This window comes from Homo sapiens, chromosome 4 (assembly GCF_000001405.40).
Source record: "Homo sapiens chromosome 4, GRCh38.p14 Primary Assembly".
In the NCBI taxonomy this organism is placed as follows: domain Eukaryota; kingdom Metazoa; phylum Chordata; class Mammalia; order Primates; family Hominidae; genus Homo; species Homo sapiens.
Window position 1 is genome coordinate 155,828,960 of NC_000004.12, and position 19,872 is coordinate 155,848,831.

The following is a 19,872-nucleotide window of genomic DNA, read 5'->3' on the forward strand; positions in this document are numbered from 1 at the left end:
TCTCTTACATCTGGGAGAAATTGCAATACCACCAAGAATAAATTAGGGGATAGATTCTTTGACTTGATTATTATTTCTTAAATATGTTTGAGAAATCTTCTAAAAGTCACCTTTAATTGAATATTCTGAGACACCGAAAGTACATCTATTACCCGAGTGGGAGAGAGAACACTGAAACTCCTGAGTTTCCTCTCTGGACTAAATATGTAAATAGAAGTACTTGGGAAAAAAATGAGAAAATGCCATGTATTTTCAAGATAGTACAGATTTAACTTTATTTTCATTTAGATTGATGTTAAGTACCACCTGTATGGGAAACAGATTTCTGTCCCTCCGAAAGTCATTTACAATAGAACACTCCAGATAAAAGGGAAAAAAAAGTATGTTGAATCTTAATGAAAATAAAAATTCTTTAAAACTTTATAAAGCATAAATTATACATATCATTTCTTGAATAAAGAAATATTTTGTTTCCTCATGTATAGTTTATTTATTGGGTCTAGTTTACATATTTAGTCATAAAAAATGTCTCTTTTCCACTACACCAATATTCATTCATTGAGAAACATTTATGAGATGTCTATTACATAATCTTGACTGTTCTAGGTGGAGGGAACACAAAGGTGAAAAAGATAATTCCTATTTCTTTATTTCATATATATATATATATATATATACACATATATATACACATATATATATACATACACATATATATATACACATATATATACACACAGACAAAGACAAATAGAAAGAAATATATATGAAGAGATACATATCTTTAATGGCTTTTATCGAACTCTCAAAACTATAGAAAAGTGACGTAACAATGAATTAGTCAAGATAAATCTGAAGGTATCATGAAAAGGAAACTATTTTATTCTAAGTGACCATTAACACTCCTCTATCCTATTTTTATTTCCCAGATGATTCTGAGGTGGAGGAGTCCACTGGGTCATTTCAGATATCTTCAGCAAAAAGAAAATGCATATCCAGTAGAAATTGGTGAATAGATATTCAATAATTTCTATGATCGTGATCAGACTGGCCCCACAAAATAGACCCAGCTGACCACCAAGATCTGCTGTAATAAAACCAATAAAGATTGAATGTCATTATTTTTCATAAAAAACAAATATTATTAGAAGTTAAATTAGTTGAAGCAAAATAGAGTCATAACTGAGATGAAGATTGGTTAATTTTATTATTTTAACATTTGATATGAATAAGGTAATAGCAATTGGTAATATCAAAGTGGTATTCATACAAATCATCATAAAAAGCAGAGAAGAAAAGCAAACATAAAATCTGATTCCAAACATATAACTCTAAGACTCTGGAGGATATAAAATCTCGGTAAATTCATTAGAGATTCTAGATAATTACAAACTCATTTCTAGGTGTTAAATGAAGAGCAGAAGAGTGCCATCCAGAAGGCACTACTGGATGATGATGTTTTCCAGAAAATTAATTTCCAAGCAAGTTGTGACATCAAGTGTCAAAACTGTATTTCTTTTTATGCATTCATAATATTTCCTTTAACCAAAAATTAACATAACATTGCCTTTTTGATATTTTAAAATTTGTACTTATATTTACTGTTTGTGCTTTTTTATTGTGGTAAAATATATATACCCTAAAATTTACCATGTTAACCATTTTTAAGTATACAGTACTGTGGCATTAAGTACGTTCACATTGTTTTGCAGCCATTCCATAATCTTTATCTATTTGCAGGATGTTTTCATCTTCCCTAACTGAAACTCTGTACGCATTAAACTCTAACTCCTCATCCTTCCTCTCCTCGGCCCATGACAACCACTCTTTTACTTTCTGTCTCTGAATCTGATTACTCCAGCAGTGCTTTCATAAACAGATTACATTATTAATCATTATCTCATTGCCCTAGGCCATTCTTAGGACCATTCCGTTTTTGTAAAGTGTGATAATGAAGTATAGGCTTCTCCAAGAGCTTTGGCAAATTTACATATTTCCTCCATATTCAGGGTCTCAGCTGTGATGTCTGACTGCTATCACTTTTGCCTGAGTCTAAGGCCTTCTTCTGTCTCCGACACAGCTTCCTCTAAGATGCGGTGAGATCTAGGAAATTAGCCATTATGTTTATTAGGGACTGTGGAGAAGGCAAGTGAGCAGGCAGTGGTTGCCTAATTTTGCTTCCTCAGGTTCTTCTTTTTAAGCCACTCTAGGGTAGAGCCCTGTGTGGAGGTATGAGGTGGCTGACATTTACCCAGGTGTAGCATTGCTGAAACATTCTACAAAGTCACTTGATGAGGGATCTAATGGTAAAGTTTGATGTGAGTGTGAGTAGGAGATGAAACACCACCAGCCTTTTCTTTATAAAAGTCCATGTGAGGTTGTACAGTGTTTTCTAGGGAGTGGAAATATGTCAGATTTAAATAGCAGCTGAATGACAAGTTCAATTGATTCTTGTCCTCCACTGGTAAGCTAAACCTTAAATATCAAAGAAAAAAAACTGATAAAAATTTTTAAATATAAGGAGCAATTAGGCCGGGCATGGTGGCTCATGCCTGTAATCCCAGCACCTCAGGAGGCCAATGTGGGCGGATCACGGGGTCAGGAGATCGAGACCATCCTGGCCAACACGGTGAAACCCCGTCTCTACTAAAAATACAAAAAATTAGCCAGGCGTGGTGGCGGGTGCCTGTAGTCCCAGCTACTTGGGAGGCTGAGGCAGGAGAATGGTGTGAACCCCCTGGGAAGCGGAGCTTGCAGTAAGCCAAGATGGCGCCACTGCACTCCAGCCTGGGCTACAGAGCGAGATTCTGTCTCAAAATAAATAAGTAAATAAATAAAATAAGGAGCAATTAAATAACACTTACCAAGTAACTCAGACACACTCACCGCCTTTTGCTGCTGGGTTATCTTATAGTTTAGGTCACTATAGTTAATTTCAATTTTTACAAGATTCTCCCTAGGGATAAAAAAGAGAGTTAATATAGCTTAAGATTGTCAGCATTACTTTTAATTCCCGTCGAATAAAGGTAATATTCATTTTTGTTTTATATGCTATTTAATGTTAAACTGACACAGAATTGTTAATATTAATCACAATTAGCAGGATGTAGAAGGCATTTTGTCATGTTGGTTTTTAAGAAAAAATAATTTTCCCCAATAATTTTCTGCACCTCATTCCTGAGAAACTAGAAAAAGACATTAAATGTAAATATCTACTGAATAAAATATTTACAAACATCTAAATGTGTGTTTGATTTTCATTCAAATCTTGGTTCTGTCTTTTGTTACTTACATGACCTTCAAGAAATCACATTGGTTTTTTTAAGTCATGGTTTCCTCAAGAGTAGTCAGGATTTTAGAGCTGAGCTCACAGAGTTGCAGTGAGGCAAAATTAAATTATGTATATGCAAAATGGACACAGAGCCTGACGTATATTGGGTGTTCGATGAATACTAATTATTAACTATGTGTCATTAATATACCTAGGCAAAGACTCTGTTTTCTTAATGTCTGTTTGAAATCTTTATACATGACCAGAGTGGCTAAACATCTTTTAAAATGATACTAATAGCTCGTTACACGGTCTTGAAAGCCCTCACTTTCTCTATCACCAGCCTAGACCCCTACCTTGAACTTCAATAATATATTCAGTTCATTCTTATATTTCTACTTGGATGTCTAATAGATGTTCCAACTTTAATACGTTCCAAGTCAAATCCTTCACATTTCCCTTATTTATAGTGTAAATTTTCACACTCCATAGCCAGTCCATCAGGAAAGCCCATTTTTTATGTTACCTTCAAAATATATCTGGACTCCTATGACCTCTCACCCCATTCAAAGCTACCACCTTTGCCCAAGCCTTCATGACCTCTCACCTGGATTTTTGCAATAGCTTGCTAACTGGTCTTTCTGTTTCCAACTTTAGTGCACCCCACTTCAACAAATATTGTCAGGAAGGACTTTCCTGACAATAATCCACAACCCTGAGAACAACCCTCCCTGACTCTGGCTTCCCCACACTGCTTTTCTGCTGCCACTCTCTCACAGCACTTAATGCCATCTGACATGACTATATACAGTGGTCACCAATTTCCATCCCAGTGGACAGGAGTGCAGCAAGGCAGGATTTTTGTCTTTTATACACTGAGGTATCTCTAATACCTAGACGACTCCTGAATCCTAACAAATAATAGGTTGTCCCTTAGATATATGTAAAATGGACAAATAAGGGAGCAAATTAAAGATGAAACCACCAAATGAATGGATCAATATTACCCTGTCAGTGTTATAAGATGAATCTGAAACCAAGTACCTCATGATTTTAAAATGGCAATAATAATAATAGTATTCATTAAGAGTGGATACTATTAGCCGAGTTTCCTAGAATTATGTGGTGATCTTTAATACACCTAAAGAACATGGCTGTAAATCACTCTCCTTAATGTTTACAATTTTTGAAATCAATAATTCCAAATATACTTAATTCAAAATATATCATTAATATGTTTACTTAATTTCCATTGGTTTAACCCTGAGTAACAGGAGAATGTACTATGTTTAAGTAGATAATCAGGGATTACAGTAATATTTACAAATGATAAAACAGTTCCCAAAGTAATGGAAAAATAAAGTTGTCTTGGAAGTCCAGAAATTTTAGTAATATTCCAATCTCTTTGTCCCCCATTGTGCTCCTAATTTGCATGTGCACTGATAATATTGTTTAATTTCCCAAGCACAACATTCATAATCATATCCAAGCATTATCCACCTGTGATTTTGAGAGAAGATAAATTCTTCCCCTGCAAAAATATTGTGATATTTGCTCAACTTCTCTCAGGCAGTTGTTTTGTCCAATCATTTGGGTCTCACTGAATCTGTGCCTCATGGCAATAGTGAAATTGTCCAGGATTTAACAGGATTTGAGTCCAAAAATATTTGTGTCAGGAGAGGCACAATTATAAAGTAAAAACTAAAAACTGAATTTTTTTATTGTATTACAAAATAGTTTCTAAAAAAGCTTCCAGATGCTTGAACAGGAGTGCTGCATTAGGGGAATGAATTAATTTGGCATAAAGAAAACAATTTTATACAATTTTTATTTCAAAATTTGTTAAGTTAAAACAGAACAATTTTTAAAATTCACTTGTTTTACTAATGAAGTTGGCCTAACGTCAGACACAATTTACCCTTATCTTCAAGGGTAAACTCCACACTGCCTGCTACAGTCAAGCTAAGCCTCTCAACATTTTGAGGTACAGCAGCAGCCCCATGAGGCCGTGGATTGACCATGAAGTAGCATTTATTTCTGTCCCAGGAAGACAAAAACATACACCTCCATGGTTAAGTTAGGGGTCGCTTCTTTTAAAATGACTGCTGCTAACATTTCACATTTGCCGTCCTGACAAACTGCACTTCTGTTTTCTGATTTACCACTCTCTAATTTCCAGTACCTTTGCACAAACCAGTTGCTTAATTATATGTGTGACTTCTAACTGTCTCTGTGTGGGAGTTGAACAACCCCTGAGTCCAGCCACCTTTGTTCAGCTGCTCACCTTAGTCTTCCTGGTAATGGCCTCCACTATTTAAAACCATGTAAGGTCCCTACATGTACATTATGTGATAGGATTAATTGGATAATAATTAATAATTATATGGACAGGAAACAGAAAAATACTGGGTAGAAGAGGGCGGTTCCCTGGCAAAGGCCCACCCTCAGACCTGGATACCCGTGGCCCTAAATGAGAACAGGCATTTCTGTTTTTGCATCCAAAAAGTTGCCTTTTGGCCCACTACACCCCCTATCCTGCCTCCATATGAAACCCAAACCCCAAGCTCCAGAAGAGACGAGAAGACCAACAGATCAACAAACCAGTGATGGCAAAATGATGTGGCAGAGAAAGAGAGAAGAGAAGGCACATCTGAACACCAAGGGGAGCTCGGCCGGGGGTGTTCAGAGAAGAATCTAGTCACAGGCTGCCTGACTCCACGCAAAGATCACAATCCCACTCCATACCCCCTTCTGGCTCCTGATCCATCTCACTGAGAGCCACCTCCACCACTCAATAAAACCTTGCACCCATCCTTCGAGCCCGTGTGTAATCCAGTTCTTCTGGGACACTGGGAAAGACCTTGGGATACAGAAGGCTGTCACACTGGCCCTCTGCCCTTGCGATAAGGCAGAGGGTCCATTGAGCTGATTAACCCTCCAGCCATCTGTAGACAGCAAAGCTGAAAGAGCTTTGTAACCCTAGGGTTGCAGGCACCCAATGCTAGACACTACCATGGGGTAGGAGCCCAAAGCGCTCCCCCTGGCCTCTGCACCTGCCCGTCTGCATGCTCTCCATAGGAGTTTGAGCTGCGGGGATACCGAACAGGCGAGCAACACCCTGTTGCACATTTTGCAAGGGGAATCAGAGAATTCTCCCGTTTCAAGAATAATCTGAGTTTTGGAAAAAAAAAAAAAAAGAAAAAAAAACAGCATTCCCTAAGATCCTCTTGTTTCATACATGGCTTTCTTTTCTGATTCACCAGTATGTCTCCAAAATCATGCCTACTTTCTCTGTATATTAAGTAATTATGAAACTCAGGAGATTTCTATCAACCAAAAGACACAGGAAGTGCTCTTCTAAGTCATATTTAAATACATCAGGAACAATATTAAAAGCAAATCAGTTTCCCACATTAAAACAAAATATATAAATAGATGTCTGTGCTGGAGTCGGAAGTGTAAACAAACATAATTGTAAATTTTACAGCCTGTTTATCACTTTATCTGCTGTTTGAAATCACTCCATTAGCCCTGTTTTGATGAAAATGCTTTTTCTTTCTGTAAAGATCACTTTGTTACCTCAGCGTTTACATGGGAATTTTTTTTTATTTTATTAAAGTAAGCACAAGGCTAACATTGGAATCTAAGCATGCTTTCCAAATTATGCACACATCTGTGAAAATGTACGTCAACCTTAAGTTAGTTAACATATTTTTATTTTAATAGATATAACTACAAATACCAATATACTGTATATATTGCTGCTTCATGTCCTAGTCCTAAAAATACAAAGAAGAAACAAAGAGAAATGCTAATGTTGCTTCCCTGTTAAAAAACGAAGAGTTATTTATGAAGCTTGATTTGTAATTTTTAAGAGGCTGTATGGTATAGCAGAAAGAGGACTAATTTAATTCTCAGTTAATCAGGGGACGTGGAATCATGTATCTGAGTTGCAAAGACATGGGGACCAGCGTCAAAGTTCTTGGGCATAACTTCTTTCTGGGCCCCTGACTACCTTCACAGAACCATTTCTTAAAATACGATGTCCTTCAGTTTCCTCTTCTGTAAAATTAGAATATTAATTTCTGTTTCATCTACCTTGTACAGTTATTAGAAGACTCAAAGTGTATAATGTACAGGTAGGAAATTTTCATATTTTAAGGCATCCATTATTATCAGTCAACATTATTATTTTCCCCAGTTTGGGCAATAAATGTTTGATCATGAGCAAGTTACTCAAGCAAGCATCATTTTCCTTTTCACACAATTACAGTAAGGAGTTGAAAGATATGATCTTATTTACTTTTAAAATTCTATGGTTTCATTGTCAGTTCAGTGAAAAAAGCCATTGCCTCCCTTGATTGATTAGAATTTCATTTCCTGAGTCTTTGAGGGTTTTCAATAAAGAAAAAAAAATCTATGTTAATTATCAATAATTTAAAAGGCTAGTAAGGTTACCTGATGTATTTCCGGCTTTGATTCAACTTCTTGGAAAGATATTTCAAAGCTTTTTGACTTGGAAAAGAGGAATAAGAAATAGTGGCCGGGTATTCTATTTCTTCACAAGAAACGGGGCAGCTAGAGTTATGTGTTCCTACTGTACATAAATCCTTAAATTCAATGTGGTCTGAAATGAAAATCAGGACAGGGAATTCAGAGAAGAGAAATATTTCATCATGGGTAGGATAGTTTTATAAAGTTTATCATTTCACTTTCAATATTAAAAAAAGGTGGTTACCAACAACAAATGGTGTTTACTCTGAAACAAATATGTTACTCTGAATATAGCAGAGGAGATACAATATAAGGCCTGGAAGTTCCAATCTTTGAATTCATTGAGTCACTGGATTGGGATCTTTATTGGATTTAAGAAATTATTTTCAGGAAGTATCTGGGTCTATTTCTGTAAAATATCAGATATTTGGACAGAAGAATATCTGGGTCTATTTCTGTAAAATATCAGATATTTGGACAGAAGAATATCTGGGTCTATTTCTGTAAAATATCAGATATTTGGACAGAAGAAAGATGGAAAGTGTGTAAACATCTTCAGATTTGTCTCAACATACAATGGTAAGAAATGTGCTCCTGAGTATTTGCAGTTCCTTATTTCTGTTGGCCCAGTCACTTCCAAATCAACCACTGAGGTTCTCTGTTCAGTGATCTCTCTTGGCTCCTTCAGAGCAACCAGGCTGTCCATGCAAATGCATACTAGAAAAAAGTCCCTGTAGCAGGTAGTGTTTGTCTCCAGCTTCCCTTTGGACCACCTCCCAGTGCTCATTCTCACTGCTCCTCATTCATGGTAGATACTCAGGTTCTTGTTTTTCCTTTGGTTTTGATACTGAAACCCTTTGTTCTCGTGAATCAGTTGTTTACCAAGACCTCCTGGTTACTGACCAACTTTAGGTTTGCTTTTCAGACTCTAACTTTGACTTCTCTAGGAGAAGTCAAAGCATGCATCTGCTAGTTCTTTAGCATTGCTGGCAAAGACCACCACTCTTCTCCTACACTCACATGCACTCATACACTCCCATACACACATAGGCTCACATGCACATACTCTCACACACACACTTACATACATATACTCTCATGTACATAATACTCTCTCACACACACAAACACACACACTCTTCTGACCTCCTTATCCCACAACAGTCCCCGCTAAACTGCATGCATGGTTTTTTTCCCCAAGCTCTCCCTCCAGCCTCCAACAAGGATAAGAAATCTGAAGAAATCTGGCAACATCATTTCAAGTCTATTGGTTAGTAATACGGCTTTTGTATATTCAGCCTGTGATCTACATAAAAAAAGATTCCTTCTACCTATAGCCATACCTTGAAATATTTTACAACCATTGAAAAGAACCTTTTAAATCTATTCCTGCTACCCTGGAGATATTTCCACAATGGGTTAGAAAAGCAAGTTGCATAGAAGGGTATATATTGGGATTCTGTTTTAATAAAACAACCAATGACTTCACGTGATAAATATGGAGATGTATATGTGGAGAAAGTTACAGTAGGATATACTAAAGTGTTAGCGATTATTGCAGGTTAAGGTAAGAGGTGTGAAAGCAAAAAAAAGAGGGGGCTCTTTAATAAGAACTTGTCCCCAATAAATATGGCATGTACAGTTATAATTCCATTTATGAAAAAATTTTATATGCCAAGTGCATGCAATAAAGTGAATGAATGAAGGACTATTCCCAATCAGTGAGAGGAGTTCTCAGTAATAAAACTTCTATTTATTTTTACATGATTTCCTTTCTATTCTGTAGTATTTTAACTATTCACAATAAACTTGTTTTATTTGTGAAACAATAAAAAGCAGCTAGGATATTTTGATTATAAAAAAGAACAAAATTTAAAAATTTAGATGTGTCTTAATATCAGAGGGTTTTTGTTTGTGTATACTGCCTGTGTTTGTTAGCTACTATTTAAGAACACTTACAAAAAGATCTTCTCTTATATACTATATTCTGTTTAATTTCTGGGCTATCCATAGTTTGACTTAATGTCTTATATTACTTTGAGCAACTTTAATATAAATCCTGAAAATAAAAGTAAATTAAGCACTTACCAAGTACAGGAGAAACACAGCTGAAGTACTTTTGTAGGTCACATTCTATCCCATATCCTTAAAAATAATAAGTGTAACATATAGAGACTTTACATTTTGTAAAATAAGTGATCTAATGACAAAAATACCTTTCTTACCTACATCTATCCATCCATTCATCCACCCACCCATTCTTCTATATGAACATCTATTCTTTCATAAGCAAAACTATGGAATCAAGTTAGTATCCAGTGAAAATATGTGTTGGGAGGAAGAATAATGCTTTTGTTTCTTTCCATACCTCTTTCCATCTGTCTATATCACTCTAAAATCTTTAAGCGGGAATAATAATTTTCAAATGTGAGTAGTTTTCAAATTTAAAATTACTTTCACAGTTATCATCTCATTTGATATGGTTCACAATCCTGTCATATGAGAATTTTCATTTTACAGATAAAGAAACTAAGCCTCAGAAAGAGTGGCTTGCTCAAGACCACACAGTTAGGGGAAACTTGGCACATTCTGTACATCTTCCATCCTGCTCCCTCTATCCATTTACACACACACACACACACACACACACACACACACACGTTCCTGACAGACTGCCATTCCAGAAGTAGGATGGGGAGGGGGCAGGTAAGTACCAATATTTGTTAAGTACCCACTATAGATTGTGAGATAAGTAGAAAATCACTATGTATCAGAGCTGGGTTTACTCCTACGGCTGATTCTAAAGACTTAGTCTTTTAGCCTTAATACAATATTTGTCTATTGCTATAGCCCATGTGACTCAGCAGTTAGCCACAATGTTTAGTCAGTAATCTTGAAAATAACCAAAGGAGATTGTCCACTTACAACGTGCGGACAATTTGTGGAATGTTTGGCTAACTGTAAGGAAGTGCTCTTTATGAATAAAATACAATAAGTAAAAAAAAAAAACTACCTCCAACACTGAGTTAGGAAAAAACCTCATTTTTCTGAATTATTTCTTGCTCTGGCAATAATATTTCTTCCATTATAAAGAGCAATTCAGAAAAAAAAGATGGTAGATGGAACACAGAAAACAAAAATAAAAACAAACAAACAAAAGAACAATGAAATTTTGGAAATAACCAATATCTGAAAAGCTGTTTTGGAGATTGCTTCCTCAAATTGTTAGTGGAATTACCTCAGCGAATTTGTTTAACGTTTAGAATCTTCCGTTTATTCATATATCAGTACACTTAAAGGGATGTGTGAGAATCTAACCAAATAAGATCATATTCCTGAATGCATTTGATATATATGCTAAAGTTCATGCAGATATCATTCTTTGTGTTTTATATAGCACCTTGCCTAGTTTCTGGTCCACATTAGCCAGTAGGTTTTGGTTTAATAATCATAACTTTTAAAATTGTCAACATTATTCTGCATGAAACAATTCAGACTTCTTTCCAGCAACTTTGCCAATAAATTAGGAATGAGAAATCAGAGCCAGAGCCAGCAGTTTTATATAGAACAGCAGTTTTTGCAGTGGCCAGAGATCAATAATCTGGATACTAAAAAGAAGGATGTGATGATTATGGAAACCTCTGGAAAATAATGAAACCACTTTTGCAAAATTTATATCTTTTTTACTTTTATTATTTTTTATATTATATATAATATAATATATATTTTTTATATTTTATATATATTTTATATTTATACATATTTTATATTTATATTTTATATATTTTTTACTTTTATTATTACATTGAAAGAGATTTGACCTAACTGACTCCATCTTGTTTCTAACCTCCAAGCTGTCCTTGTTCATTCTTGGGCGTTCGCTGAACTAACTTTGGGAGGAACTTAGTTTATGGTTTAGCTCTGAAACAAAGACAATAACAGCCCTTTCCCAAAATAAACTCCCTTCCTGCCTGGGGACTAGATTGCCTATATAGGGCTAACAAATTAGCCACAAGATTAGAAATTATGTTTAGGGGTCATGCAGCTGGAGGGTGCAAGATTCTAAACCGCCCCAAATTGCTTATAGTGATAACATTACTATTGTAAAAGCTAAGATCAGTGCTTGAGATATGTTGCAGACCCTGCCTCCAATGATCAGCTGGCACCACCCAGAACAAAAATCTGGCCCATCTGGTTTTGTGACCCCTACCCAGGAATTGACTCAGCGCAAAAAGACAGCTTCAACTCCACATGATTTCATCTCTGATCTCACCAATCAGAACCCCTGATTCACTGGTTCACTGGTCCCCTACCCACCAAATTATCCTTAAAAACTCTTATCTCCGAATACTCAGGGAGACTGATTTGAGTCATAATAAAACTCCAATCTCCCGCACAGCCAGCTCTGCATGAATTAGTTTTTCTCTATTGCAATTCCTTTGTCTTGATAAATCAGCTCTGTCTAGGCAGCAGGCATGGTGAGCCCGTTGGGCAGTTACAATATTTTGGCAGGTAGATTGTGTTACAATATATCTTTCTAGATATGCTGTGGGAGGGGGATGTAAGAGACCTGAATACAAATATCTGACATTTACATAGACTATATTCTGTGCCAGGCACTATTTGAACCACTTACATACCCCTTTCATTCTTACAACAACCCTATAAGATGGGATTATTATCCCCTCCTCCATTTGACAGCAGAGGAGAGAGGTTAGGTCACTTGTTCAAGATCACCTAGGGGAGAAATTGTAGAGCCGACATGAGCAGCCTGGTTGAGATCCAGCTCTTATTCACCCTGCTCCATTGCTTCCTTGAATGCTTGCCTCTCACCCATGGTTCTGGAAAAGTTGCAAATTGTATGAAAAGGAGGCCTGAAGTTAATTTTACAGTCCCAAAGAAAATAACTTTTCAACAGTGAAATCTTCAGGCTTGGTAAGACATATCCATGATCTAATTTTTCTTTCAAAATTAAGAAAATCTTGGTGTGCTGTTTTAGATATTTGAGACCATCAAATTTTAGCCTTTGGGAGTAAGTATTGGGGCCCCACCCTGATATCGCAATTTTCTCTTCCAGAAATCTCTGCGATGATTTTATAATGTAAAATTTGTCAGTCGAAGTTGTACCTGGCAAATGGATAATTTTCCAGTGTAGAATTTCAGAAGAATGGAAAACAATTTAGTGATATGTTGATTTGCTATGTTTCAAATTAAGTAAATATAAACATAAAATTCAAAGAAATTTAGGACTAAACTTCTGGTGACTTTGTTATTAGTTGTCATTTTAGTCTGCAAAGAGAAGGAACAGGCTTAAGAATATAATAATTTTTCTGTGAATGGGTCAGCAACATCTGTAATTACACTTAATAATACTTAATATTCCATTTGTATTTCAATACTCTATTTCTCCCAGACCTTTTGTAACCCTCTAAGAAACACTTAACTGTCTAGTTAAGTAAGGGGGCAGTTAGTCTTTATTTACCAGGAAGAAGAAAAGGCACACATCCACATTGCTTTTTTATGTGCTGGGCTTTGCATTCCTTCAAGCAACCAGAAGTGCTGTAGCTGCTAAAATTCTGCAGCTTGATGTTAGGATTGCATTCTCCCCAAGGGTATTCTTGATGAACTGTCTTAAGATAAGATAAATACTGGGTTCAGGAGATGTGTTTACATCAATTCACTTATTTTCCATCAAGAAGCTGGTACACATTTTTATTTTCCTCTCAGAGCTCTTTGATTTTCAAAACCAAAATTGGTTACATTTGTCTATTTTGCCTACTCTATTGACCTGAAATTCCCTGAAGCTAAGTATAATAGTGATCCTTAAACATATATCCCAAATGTGAATTAATAAAGTCAGACACATTGAGTATTCTAAAAATCAACTCATATAAGGAAAAAATATCATTTATGTAAATGTTATATTAGTGTAGTAATCAGCTCACCTACAAAACAGTGAAGAAAATCACATTTTAAAAAGATCCTTTAATAAGCAACTATTATGTGCCAGGCAACATGGTGTTGCAGAACTTTCTCCTTAGTTCAGCTAAAACTGGGCTCTTGTCACATGACCAGGAAAAATGAGGCTCGCGGGCAAATAGAAGGGTGAGGAAAATGGAATTTATTGGGTGAAAAGAAAAAAAGAAAAATGACTCTCAGCTAAGTGAGAGAGAGTCCTGCTGGTAGGTTTCCCACCTCACAGATTGAATCTCAGGCCACCACACAGGAACATGAGAGGCCAGGCTCCTCCCCACTGCAAACAGTGCAAACTTCCCAAGGCTCCACCCCTTCCTCCCAATGTGCAGGTGGGCATTTTTCAGAAAGAATCAGGTGGGAAAGGACAGCCTTCATCTGGGACAAGCAGTCCAGTTTTTCAGCCTTCAGGCTGTTTTAGGTTTGAAGGCAGGGTTTCACCAGGGGCCCTTGGCTGTCTCCTGTGTCTATCAATGGTAAGTGCTTTCTTTATGGTACTTCACTTAAACTTCCTTACTATGAAAGAAAAATATTACCCCTTCCCTATTTGTGCAGAGAGGAGATGCAAATTCAGGAAGCTAATTAAAGAAGTTACCGGGCAAGTAAGTGGCTGGCAAACAGAAACCTACCAGACCAGCCTGACTCCAAGATTCCTGCTTTTCCCACTAATTTTCTCCTTCCCAGATAGTCTCATTGAAGAATCATAGCTCAGCAACTTAGGTACCTCTTTATACTTAATGACCCTTTCCATTTCTAATGAAATGTAAAGTTTGGATTTGATAGGCTTCCCAGCTTTCACTTACATAGTTTCTGTTTCCACTAATCATGTACCTTCAGATAAAGGAAAATAATCTGAAATGAAATTTTGGAATTTCTAATGGTGTTTTACAGGCATGGGAGAAAGGAATTTCTAGTGAAAAGCATTACTTATGTGTTTGATGCATTCACTACCCCACCTAATTTCCTCAGACTCGAGTATTTACCTTCACTTGGCGGATGGTTACCCTTGCGTGCATTCCCACAGGTGACAACAAGCCTAACCCATCAAACTGTGGCACCTTCTTTGGTGAATGGATAACAAAGATGATCCCAGCATCAACGAAACCAAGGGCTGGGTTATCAGTGAATGCCTCCTGAAACAAAAATATGTTTTTGCCCAAATTGCAAATTGACTATATCAGTTCTAAACAAGTTTAGGATTTAGTTTTATCATCTCATGATAGCGTTTGACTAATCCTAAATATTTTATGTTATATTTCTATCTCTTTTTGTCTAAAGTGTATGAAAATTAAAGACATACTTTAGTGGTTGAATCGGTGAAAGGAAACTATCTTGGGTCCCTTCAAGGTGGGGTCTACTCAGGACAGTCCTGAAATAATTGAGGCTTGTCTCATCATTTTTCTTGATTGATGTCTGGTAACCACAAAGGGATCCTGAGTGAAGCTGACCTGGCCTGCAGCAGCTAGCCTATCAGTGCTTGGTACCAGCTTGGGCACCTTATAGCCCAAACCAATAGGACGATTGCTGAACTCCAGGAACTCTTTCCTCCAGGGATCCCTGATCTTCCATTGTTTTTCATTTGGGGGTCTGAGGTTCATTCGCTATTAAAAAAACAAAAAACAAACAAACAAAAAAAACTCCTTTTTTTGTGGGAGTTTCCACTGCATCCACCAAGGAATGTGAACCTACCTGCTTCTGCATCGGCAGAGAGCAGTTTTCAGCTTGGGCCCCATCACTAGGTAAGAAAACTGGTTTGGGATTCTTTCTTGCAAATTCTTTTTAAAGAACTAAAGTTAGCATTAACAACCAGCTGATGTTAATTTCTGCTTACACTTAGAGCGCTCAGAAATCATATAATTTGTGTGATCACTGTTAGTTTTGCTTAACTGTTTTGTTGTTTGTTTCTCTCTTGTGGGGTTGTGTGTGTGTGTGTTTTGGTTCTTTCTCTCATTGGATTTGACCAACTCAGAACCCTCTAGCTCATGAGTATAGAATTTTCCACTCCAAAGAAATAAAGCACCTTGCTCCCCTAAGCCTTTTGGGGCATTCTCATGTGACTGAGAATCACATGGGGGTGTCTGGGAGGAATGCTCCCTAAAATGTGCAGTGGCTCTAAATAAGTATCCCCCTCAGAAGAATATACTTAGGGTCTAATCTCAGCTGGCAGGTGCATGTTAGGAGCCAACCCCTGCTGCATCTTGAGCACCTAACACACTGTGCCAGGTAGCTGCAACACAGGACGACCAATCTTGTTCAGGGATAACAGCCCTGAAAAGCTAAGTCTGCTAGCAGCACATTTTGGGTCCAACACGTGTCCCAACTTGGTCAAATCCAAAGGGGAACTCTAAACTATGGGGAACAAGGCCTCTGAAGTGGAAAGAAAACAGCAATCAAGAGGAAAAAAAAAGGAAAGATTTTTTATTTTGACTACTAAAGGGGCTTTATTTACATAACAAAGCCACCTTTTTATCAGCCAGACCAAACTGAAAGAGCAATGGCTGCACTTCTGAAATATGGTAATGAGGTCTAAAAAGAATTTTTTTAAAGAAGCTCAGTGTTTCAAAGTCAACTTAATTAAAAGATTAACATCCAAGATGTGTGTGTGTATGTGTGCATGTGTGCATGTTTGTATTTAAAAGGCCTTCAGGTTTTTGTGGGTTTTTTTTTTGTTTTTCTCTCCTAAGACTTTGTCTTTTTTTTGAGCAAAAGTTTTTTTTTTCCTTCAGTTGACTGAATTCCGTTTTCACCTGATCTTTTGACTAAAATAGTTATTGCAACAGAGGCTAATCTTGGGTTTTTAAGGAAGAGTGTAGTTAAGACACTCAGAAATATCTTTGTTAAAAAAAAATTTAAGTGCACTCTGAAAGCATCACAGGGTCTAACCTCAAAATAATTCTACCGTTTTTTGGAGACCCAGGATTCAATGTGAGCTCTGCCCAGAGCTTAGAGATCCAGTTAAAATATAGGTAGTCCCTATCTAAATAAGATTGGTCTCCTTATACAATATTATGATAGAGTTCTATAATTTTATGTTAGATTTGGCTCAAAGAAAAATAAAAGCATCTCCCTCTAGCACCAACAGACTTTTTCTCTCTGTACCTTATGATATAAAGTTTGCTATTTTATTTTCACCTGAGTTGTTTCCTATAATAAGCAAATTTAAGGCTATTTAGCTAACAACTGCCTAGGGTTGTAAAACAGGTTATCAAGAATCTGAATGTCTAAGATAGGAAAAAAATAATAAAAGGGTCTTTATGAATCTATAAAATGTACCTTTATTGGCATACCTAATATGTCTATGTATTTATATGTCATATACACAATATTTCACTACAGAAAATATATAAAAGGGCTCTAATTAATTGGCTTAAAGAAAAATAAAAGTGTTTAAATCATATATTTTATCAGGAAAAAAGAAAAGACAGTTCAAATTCTTTTTCAAGTTTATGTAACTTAAGTAAAATCTTTAATAGAAAAGCTAGCTTTAAAATTACTAGTAAAGTAATATCAGAAATGTCTTAAGAATTGCCAGCATACTTTTTTTGTTTATGTTTATTAATCAGGCTATTTCAACTTATCCCTGCCAAACACTATAAAATGTCAAAATTTGGCATAGAGATTACAAAACTGTAAACCCAGCCCCAAACAGAATGATCATTACTTGTGTAGTTTTTAATAAATAAGACATTGATATTGGTTTAATGAAAATAGCTGCATCTTAAATTTTCAAAATTACCATAATTTCTAATCTTGTGGCTTTAGGCAGCCTAGTCCACAGGCAGTAAGGAGGTTTGTTTGGGAAAGGACTGCTATTGTCTTTGTTTCAAACCTAAACTATAAACTCAGTTCCTCCCAAAGTCCAGGAATGAACAAGGACAGCTTGGAGGTTAGAAGCAAGATGGAGTCAATTAGGTCGTATCTTTTTCACTGCCTCAGTTTTATTTTTGCAATGGCAGTTTCATAACTTTAAATCATGACTATCGTAGTTTTCCTAAATAATCTAGGTGAACAATTAAAATAAAATAGTTAGGTAAGGGATAAATACTTGTAGACAAACATGTCGTAACTTAGAATATAAAGTTATATTCAGTTAAATAATAGATATTTCATTATGTGGGTATTTTCCAATAAATATATATTATAGAAAAACATTCTTGCTAAAAAAAAGTGTGTCCTTTATAAAAAAACATAAACAAATTTTGTCTAATTCAAAGCTTATCTAAAGGTTATGTATAAAACAAGGTAAGAAGAACAAGCAAACAAAAAGAGATGTAAAGAAAGCTATAAAAATAAGGAGGTTTTTTTGTGGTAAGACAGCTTAAAGAGAAATAATATGGTAAATTTAGTCCTAAAATAAAATGACTGGTTGTTTAAGAAAGGAGAAGTGTTCAGGTCAAACCAGAAAGTTCAAGCATGTCATTAATAGTCAGTGTAAGTCACAATAAGGATTTATTTTTTAAAAAACCAAAAACTTTAATATGATCAAGTTGTCACATTATTATTAAGTGTTGGTTTGCTTAGGAAAAAAACTGAGATAAAAATTTTTGTTTTCAAATTAAGGTTATTACATCCATGTATCTTCCTGTATGTGCTTTTAAAGTCCTTGTGACATTAAGTTACAGGGCTTTGACTCCAGGGTCTAAAAAGGATACCAAGTCCTACTAAATCTTAAACACTAACAGCAATTAAATCCTCATCTTCAGGCCCCACAGCAGATTCCAATAAAAATAAAATGCATTCCTGGCCAGGCACAGGAATTCACACCTGTAATCCCAGCATTTTGGGAGGCTGAGCAGGTGGATCACCTGAGGTCAGGAGTTCCAGACCAGCCTGGCCAATATGGTGAAACCCCATCTCTACTAAAAATACAAAAAATCAGCTGGGCATGGTGGCGCATGCCTGTAGTCCCAGCTACCTGGGAGGCTGAGGTATGAGAATCACTTGAACCCAGTCAGCGGAAGTTGCAGTGAGCCAAGATCATGTCACTGCACTCCAGCTTAGGTGACAGAGTGAGACTCTGTCTCAGTAAAAAAAATAAATAAATAAATAAAATGCATTTTTGAGATGTGGGGCCAGAAATTAAAGCCATTCAACTCCTCGAGGCCTAGGGACTATTGAGGAAGAGGTGGGCATGTGAGATTGCAATGGGCGATATTAAAAGACAAAATAAGTTCAGTTTCTCTATAAATTAATCACGACTGTCAAAGGCACAATGATGCAAGACCAGCATATGGACTCCTGTGTCAGATTAACAAGGTTTTCTTGAAGCATTAACTAACTCCTTAATAAAGATCATAAAGGTTATAAAAGGCTTATGGAAGTTATATTTTATGGTCAAGATTAAATTTTATAGATTGTTTACAAAATTTTGGAAAACAAATTTAATTGGCTTCATGCTGTTTTTATTAGGGCTTCTTATTTGGAAAATTAAGTCTCCTCTCTCAAAGAATGAAGTTTTTTTCTTTTTTTAAAAAAAAATCCTTGAGTTATCACTTTGGTTAAATGAATGACTTTACAATAACCTGTAATCCTATTTCATAATATCAAGTATTTTACACCTTTGATATTTGAAGATCTTTCTAAAATCAAATTATAAATTATGTCTTTTTCTGACCTAATTAATCCTTTAAGATATTAGTTTCCCTAAAGTCCAAAAATGACATAATTTGGCTTACTTGGTATAAAATTATACAGGAAGCATTGTCAAATATGAAATGGTGTTTGGTTTTATTTGGGCTGTATTTATGTAAATGTTATTGGTAAGTGTTCCAGAATTAATGGAAAGGCCTGTAATTCTGATATGACTTAGTGTACATTATCAATAATAATAATAATTGTTATGTTAAAATTATTGTGTACCACTGAGGTAACAAATTTCCTTGTCAATTGTGTCTTTGACTATGTCTGCCCTAAAACCTTTTTTCATCCAAGGACAATTGTGCTCATGTTTTGGTCCTCTTTAGAAGGTGTTTTTATAATCAGCTACAAAACTCTAACAGGTGCCCTTAAATGCAGGTTTCTGATAACTTTGGAGATTGTAACATCAGAAAAGAGGAAAAACTTTCAGGACTCATGGAGAGCTAAAATGTTCATGAGTATTAAACAGAACAGGAATTAACTGCATGGACTCAAAT

General features: G+C 35.9%; 1 protein-coding gene across 2 annotated transcripts in view; it reads right to left on the bottom strand.

Moving 5' to 3' along the window:
• Positions 1–769: 769 nt before the first annotated feature.
• ASIC5 (acid sensing ion channel subunit family member 5) overlaps positions 770–19,872 on the bottom strand; it is a 36,549-nt gene continuing 17,446 nt past the window's right edge. For both annotated transcript variants that reach the window (XM_017008291.2, NM_017419.3), the window contains 6 exons: positions 14,722–14,871; positions 13,248–13,395; positions 9,854–9,910; positions 7,730–7,898; positions 2,865–2,956; positions 770–1,087 (listed from right to left, as the gene is read on the bottom strand). In XM_017008291.2, the coding sequence (XP_016863780.1) occupies positions 897–1,087; positions 2,865–2,956; positions 7,730–7,898; positions 9,854–9,910; positions 13,248–13,395; positions 14,722–14,871 (807 nt within the window). In that variant the 3' untranslated portion in view covers positions 770–896. The remainder of the gene's footprint in view (positions 1,088–2,864; positions 2,957–7,729; positions 7,899–9,853; positions 9,911–13,247; positions 13,396–14,721; positions 14,872–19,872) is intronic.